The following is a 7,911-nucleotide window of genomic DNA, read 5'->3' on the forward strand; positions in this document are numbered from 1 at the left end:
AGCTACTCAGTAATGTGACAGCTTGTAAGTGGGGTATTGTAATTTGGCCATATTCATTCTGGCCTATTTCATTTTTACTTGTTTTACAACTTAAAAATATAAGTAAACAAATATCATTGAATACCAATATAGAGCAAATACAGTCTTAAGAACTAGAAATATATCTGTGTACAAAAGAAACAAATATATTGGATGAATTTTAAGTGTTATGGAGATATGATCAAGATGTTTCTAAATAATTTCACTCTTGTTTAGAAATTGTATACAGTGTTTAACACTTTCAATGTATATATATATTTCTCAACTGCTTTATTAAGGTATAATCCACAAAACTTACAATTCACTCACTTAAAGTTTAAAATTCAATGGCTTTTGGAAAATTCACAATTATGCATCCCTGACGACTATAAATTCTAGAATATTTTCCATATCCTAAAATGAGACCCTGTATGCCTTAGATGTCACCCACCAATCTCTCCATTTCCTTGCTAGTTGTAAGTCCCTAAGAATCTAATTTCTGTCTCTATAAATTTATCTATTTGTGACATTTTGTATAAATGGAATCATACAATATGTGGTCATTTGGGTCTATCCTCTCTCATTCAGTATGTTTCCAAGCTTCATCTATATTATAGCAGGTATTAGTACTTCATTTTATTGCTGAATAATATTCTACTGTATGAATGTAAGATATTTACCCATTTATCAGCTGATAAACATTTGTGTTGTTTCTACCTTTCAGTTATTATGAATTATGCTGCTGCAAACATTTGTGTACAAGTTTTTATATGAGCACATTTTCATTTCCCTTTCACTTCATTTCATCTCATTTAATCCGTCTCTCACATATATAGCTAGGAGTGAAACTGCTGGATCAGATGATATGAGGAGTTGCCATATTGTTTTCCAAGACAGCTGCACCACGTTACGTTCACACCAGCAATATGTGATTGCAGTTTCTCCACATCTTTCCAAAACTTGTTATTCACCTTTTGGATTATAGCCCCCTTAGTGGATATGAAGTGGTATCTCATTGTGGTTTTCTGCATTTCCCTCATGTTTAAGGATGTTAAGCATTTTTTCATCAGCTTTTTGGCCATTTGTATGTCTCCATGAGAGAAATGTCATTTCAGTTCCTTTGCTCATCTTTTAATTGGATTATTCATCTTTTTATTATTGAGTTGTAAATTACAAAAAAAAAAAAAAAAATCTATTTTAGATGTCAGGAGCTCAGCTGAGCTGGGAGATAGGCTGAGCTGCCATGCATGAGAGTAGCCAGTCAAAGCAGCAAGTCCAGTATGAAAGTGTTAAGCATTTAATTACTTACTGTAATGGCATAACAAGAGGCTAAAGCTCAAGAAAGCACAGCACTGCCTATTCCATCTTCCTCTCTGGAAGGATGCATCAATGACGGGTGCTGAAGAGAGAGCAATGCTCATTTCTCATGTTGGGATAAGGCTATGCTCAAGTTTTACTCTTCCCTGTAGAGTAGGACCTTGTTAGAGCAATGCTGTAAGCATATTTTACAAATGTTACCTTGCCCTTTCCTTGATCCAGGAGGGAATCTTTCTCAGTGCTTCACCAGGAGAGCCTGGTCAGGAGTTTATTACAGGCTATTCAAGTCATGTTCTAGCAATTTAGGAAAGTAGCTATTTGGGTGTTACTGGAGCTCCAGTGGCTTATGTTCTGCAGGTAGGCAGGCCTCAGCTGCCACTGTCCAGATTTGGTGGTGGATTTTTATTGTGCTCAACTTTTTCTTGTTGTAAAAGATGAGAATGATGACTTCTAAGCTTTTCGTGTCAGAGATGCTTTTGAAGACTTATCCTGGATTGTGGACTATTAGAGTGTAAATCTTTATTCTCTAATTTTCAATGTGGATACATTATTCCCTTTAAAAATATCTTGTTAAAATTTGGTTTTGATCGGAAGTGGCTGAAGGTGATATTTCATGTCACCCCAGGCAATATGTACTGCAGTTGAGAACTCGACTCTGAAGTCAGAATACGGGATTTTGAATTCTGCCTTCTCTTTTTATTCAGGTGTGTAACTTTGAGAAAAATATTTCACCCTGCTGCTCCTTAGTTCCTTAATCTGTAAAATAAGGTGACAAAGCGGTAGTAACCTTCTCTCAAAAAGAGGTTTCATCGTGTTAATACCTATAAACAGAATAGTGCCTGGTACTTAATAAATACTGGCCATTATTAAATTTCCTAGATGTGTGAGAATACTGCTATGGTTTTAAGATGTCTCACTTTGCCTTTAGAGTTTGGAAACCAGGCTCATATTGGCATCACAACTAATGTAAGTCACCAGGCAATTTCAAGTAATGAGGCCAGGCTATAGCAAAGGGTTATCAAATTGAGAGGCACGCCTTTGTCCCTAACAACACAGGGCAAAAATCCAACAGCTTTGTCTTATTTTTGTTGAAATCATTGTGTGTTTGAAGAAGTCTCTTCATGAATAGCTTATGGATTTTGGAAAACTTCCCACAAAAACAAGACTCTTTGATCCACAAGGATTTGTTTTTCATCTTAAAAATGAAACAAAAGAAAAAAAGAACACCACCAACAATAAAATAAACCTCATACAACTCTAAAGTAAAAGTTTTTGAAGAGCTTTGAGGGCCCATTCTTCTTCCTAGAAGTCTTCTATTATGTTAACACAAAATTGCCTTGCCATGACTGAGAATGTAACCAGGTCCTTCGATAAAACTGGAGATGTCTGTAAATAGGAGAATTCTCTGCTCTGATTTGACTGCTTGGTCCCGTATTGACTTTCTTACCCATGCCAAGACTGTCTAAGATCAAATCTTGAAATAAAAAAGATTATTTTCTGCTGTACCCAACCTTTCCTGTTCTTGTCTCAGCTGTTTCATCCCATCCTCAAGTCTATCAGTTTCTAGTATCATCAACAAGAAAAATTGTTAAGTGCCCATAAGTTGCATGTAAATATGTGGGAAATTCATTTTACATCTAGGGAATGTAACTTTCTATTCACAATGTTCTGAGTGAATGCAAGTTATCTATTCTGTGGATATTAAAGGGTTCTAGTCCATGAAATGTGAACAAAAATGGTATAAGTCATTTTCAGATCTCACTCCAAAATCATCCTACAAAATTTCTCATGCTTTCTCCCTGTTTGAAAACCAAAAATGAAGGATGCCAAGTTGAGACAGTCACAATATGTAAGGAAATGGTCCCTGAATTACTTCTTGGCAGAATTGCCACCCCAAGTGAAACCCAAGAGTCACCTGATATAGAAAATCCTCTTTGGACCTTGTGTCATTAGGACATATATTTTGTTATGTTAACTCTCAAAGTTTTGTAGTTGTTTGTTACAGTGGTTATCATTAAATAATACAGTTGTCCTTGAAATCATCGGGGATTGGTTTTAGCATTCCCCACAGATAAAGAAATCTGCAAATGATCAAGTCGCTGCTATAAAATGTTGTAGTGTTTTCATATAACCTATGCGTATCCTCCCATATACTTCAAAGCATCTCTAGATTACTTATAATGGCTAATATAATGTAAATGTCATGTAAATGGTTGTTATACTCTATTATTTTTCTTTGTATCCTTTTATATTTTTTATTTTTTCTGAATATTTGTGATCCAAGGTTAGTTGAATGCATGGATATGGAACCCATGGATATGGAAGGCTGGCTGTGTACAGATAGAAAAAGAAATCTCAGAAAATTGAAGTAATTTATTCTAGGCAACATACGACTTAATGCCAGGGCTGGAACTAGAAGTTTCCAATCCCCAGTTTAATGTATTTATGAAACTATAACATATACTACTTTTATTGTCCAATCCCAGCTAGTTATAAAAAAAAACCCATCAACAGATAAGGAACGGAAACTGAGCTATTTAATGTATAGTAATTCCACTCAATACCTTTCTGCATTCAAAAAAATACTGAATTTTAAGACATTCGTTCTTTTGGATACTTGCCATTGCTTTGCACAGCACGTTTTCTGAAATTGTTGATTTCAAGTAGTATAGCTAACATTGGAGGAGATCTGTAAATACACCGGACAGTTATTCAAACTCAAACCACAAGAGTTACCACCAACTCTGTAGACTAAGTCCATTTTCAAAATGATAGTCACATGAGATCGTAAATCTTTAATTCCATTTAATACTCTATCTATGCCAATGGGATGAGTTGGACAGTGAAAGGTATCTGACCAACGGAAATGACTTAGGGCCAAAGTAAACTGTCAAAAGGAGGCTAAATTTAGCTTTGCAACAAAGCAGATGTAAATCTCAGTGGGTTTCTCACCATCAGCTAAGAAAATAACAAAACATCCGTGTCCCACAGAAGCATTTTAAAAGGTTGAATACAGACAGGGCAAGGTTTGTACCCTGTTTCCTCTAAGCTGCAAGTTTGAGATCAGTTCCAGTAAAAGTTGAAGGTTACTTGAAGGAGTCTGACCTATTTCACACTGGGTACATAAAGTGTTCCCAAATAAAACTCGTTTGTTCGATGGCTCTGAAAGTGCATGCTTATGTCTAAATCACAGAACATGACAGCTTTTGGTAGCCATGCTGTTACCTCAAATGCTCCAGGGAGTTTATAAAGAATTCCAGAGGGAGGAAGAACGATTCTCTTTCCCAATTCTCTTTTCCAGCATAGTGAAATATTTGCATACAGTGACTCAATCACAAGCAAGCTAAATGTCTGTTGTTATGAAATCTTACATTCTTCCACAGTGATGGGAGAAAAAAAATGAAAATAAAGCATAGGGGAGGGACATTTTTACTTTACAAACAAAAAAATACACTCTTGTCCTATAAGCCTTTCCTTAGAAAGTTGATGGAATTCTATAGCTGTTATCAACTATATTTCAGTTGTGACTGTTGAGTTTGGGTTTTGCATTTTGAGAAAATTTCCATGTTCAGATTTCTTAGTTTTCTTTTTTAACATTTGTGAAGTAATTGCGTGAAATAACTTAAAAAAATCTTTCCAGAGTTCTCTGCCAAAAATATCTGAGCAACTTTTCCCACTCTTGCATTCCTACAGGTCTTTCTTCAGAGCTGATGAGTTACTCATTTGCCCTAGGACAGGGCTACGTGACAAGGTAAACATACTATGGTTTTTGAGAGGTATTAATTCATACTATTTTGGGATTATATAAAAAATACAATGTACATCACAGTATTTCTATATAGTAATTGTCTCACAAAATATGTCTATATAGTATAAGAAAAATTACTACAAAAATCTCAACATGGGGGATATTCTAATATGAGCCTTGGGGCAAGTATTTTGGGATAGACTAAAATATATACAGTATATAGATGTTGTATAATATTAATTTACATATTCATAGTATGTATAATAAACACTGAGCTGTGAACAAGATAATACTCTATATGTCTTATATTCCATTAAAAGTAAAGAAGAGCCTCATTCAGTCCTCAAAGGATAGGAGAGATTTGCTACTAATGCCCTTATAAATGCTGACAATCAGGCTGACTTTAAGCTTTGACCTAAAGGGTAGTGTCTCTGCCCTAACAACTAAGGAAGCAATTTCAGTTGGGACAACCAGAACCCCAAAGGAAAGCCACGCCTGTTCTTCAAGGGAAAAACAGATGAGGACTAACATGATGGACTTTCTCTCATAACCATTGTCTTTTTTTCCCCTTCTGTAATTATTCAAACATAGGCGGTCCCAAACCTGTAAGTTCACAGAGTTCACTTATCAAGAGAACTGTTGGAACTCAGAACATAATGTTCCATAAAATCAATGTTATGCTGCTGGTTTCTAAGGTGCATGAATTTTGTTTTTTGTTTTGTTTTGTTTTGTTTTTCTGCCTAAACCCCTCCCTTTGTCTACTGTTGACAGTACCCCTTTCTCTCACTCTGTGGGTCTCTGAGAGTGCCTCCAAACCCCTTGATCTCCAGTTGTTTGGTCAAAGTTTAGTAATTAGTCAAAGGAGTGGACACAATTCAAGTTGGGGCAACCACAGTAGCTCCCTGCTCAGCCATAGTGATTTATCCAGTGGTGGCCAGGTAGCTTAACCTAAGCTGGGCCTGGCTAACCAGATTCCTTTCCAATAATATATTCAACTGGAGCTATGGGGACAACCCCCAATTTCTCTAGTGTGAGGTTGTGAGGTTGTGAACCCCTTGCTTTTAGAGTCACATCTCCCAATGTGTGAAGACACCATCTTATAATAAGAAAGAATAAAACTATCAGGCCAAGAGAAACAGAGATGAGAGAAGCAGCGAGGGAGGGTGATGACAACATTGGAACTCTGTTTTTTGTTTTGTTTTGTTTTCTTTTTTTCCTGCCTGAGGACCAGAACTTCTTTGATTCCAAAGTTGACTGTTTAACTCTTTGAGGATGGAAGCTCCCTGTCATCTTAAAACAAGACCAAACAAAACCTCTCTCCCTTTTCCATGTTTGTTTCCCCTAAGTCTATTTTTAATTGTATTTCTGCCTCTTATAAACAAGCGTCCTACTTAAAATGGTTGGATTCTCAAGGAAGGATTTAGAAGCCAATTTTGACCACGATGTAAGAAAGCAAACCCCTAGTATGAGACTGGGGACCCTTTCCCTCCTTGTTCCTCTTATCTGCTTACAACAAGTGTTCAATGAGATCAGATAACTTAAACAGAGAAGGTTCAGGCCTAGGATTTTGAACTCAATATCTCCTTCTCTTGCTGTAAACATGACGATAACTGTTTGGTGTAAAGGGAGTGTACAGATTCACAGAATTCATCTAATTTTCTGGGGACCTCGACCCAAGTAAAGAGCGTAGGAAGACCTTCAAGTGACATGGTGTGACTCGCTAATAAATTCAATATTGTGCTGGCTGACTATTCATAGCATAGCTTTTATGAAAGGGTGTGTGTAACAGTGGAAACAGCTGAGAGGGTCATGGCTTTAATTATCTGAGGAGGGCATTCAGGTCACACTCATCCACTCATTTGTACTTTTATTTTTCTTTAAATAGCTGAGTCATCTCAGTCATGGAAAAAATTTAAAAATACTGCTGAAAATAGCAATTACATTATGGTGATGATAATAATTCCTAATCAACACTGTTAGACCAATTCAGGTTGCATGAGAATATTCCTTATTTCTGGAAAGGCATGAATTCTCCCAGTTTCTGGAATAATATTTTATCACACTCTGAAACAAACAATTAATTTGTATTATTTGTTAAATTATAGATGTTTATCTTACACATATCTATCATGTTCAAGTCCTCCTGGAAACATACACACAAACACACAGACTAACATATGTCCATTCCCCTTTTCAGCCACAGTCTCCATGTTTCTTAGTATAACCACACTGAAACCAAATACATCTGCACAGCAGCATATTTGGTGAAAGGTAGGGACAGGTCACACTTTTGTATTCATTTATTCCTCCTATACATTTTCTAATTCTCTATCCCTGGGGTGGGTTATCCAACTTCCTTTGATGGATATATTTGCCTAGTTAATAAATCCTGCTAAGTACCTGTTGTGTGTTAGACACTATGTTACACTCCAGAAATTCAAAGATAAATAGAATAGAGTCCTTAGAAATAAGTTATCAGCTCCATGGAGAGGCTGTCACAGAATCAGAAAATTTTAATAGTCACAACAGATGATTTGAGAGTACAGAAGAGTGACACCTACTGCTTTCTGAGGTCAGAGCATGCTCTCTATAAGAGGGAATAGTTTAACCACTACATAGAGCATGAGTAGAAGTTGTTAATCCAGAAAAGGCTGAAGAATAGAGGGATAAGAGGTTACCAGCTGAAAGGAGGACTTGGGGGAGTCTATTTTAGGAACAGAGCACAGTATAGAGGGAGTGACATGGTGTAAAAGAGATCCTCAAACAATTGGATGTTGCAGGGTTGTAAAATGAGGAATAGTTAATGACTACAACAGAGAACTAAGAGA

The 7,911-nt window shown here is 36.3% G+C and overlaps 1 long non-coding RNA gene across 1 annotated transcript in view; it reads left to right on the top strand.

Moving 5' to 3' along the window:
* LOC107986931 (uncharacterized) overlaps window positions 1-7,025 on the top strand; it is a 290,196-nt gene extending 283,171 nt beyond the window's left edge. Inside the window, exon 3 of the long non-coding RNA XR_001745844.1 lies at window positions 5,029-7,025. This is a non-coding gene — a long non-coding RNA (uncharacterized LOC107986931). The remainder of the gene's footprint in view (window positions 1-5,028) is intronic.
* The last annotated feature ends 886 nt before the right edge of the window (window positions 7,026-7,911 follow it).

This window comes from Homo sapiens, chromosome 8, assembly GCF_000001405.40.
Source record: "Homo sapiens chromosome 8, GRCh38.p14 Primary Assembly".
Taxonomy (NCBI): Eukaryota; Metazoa; Chordata; class Mammalia; order Primates; family Hominidae; genus Homo; species Homo sapiens.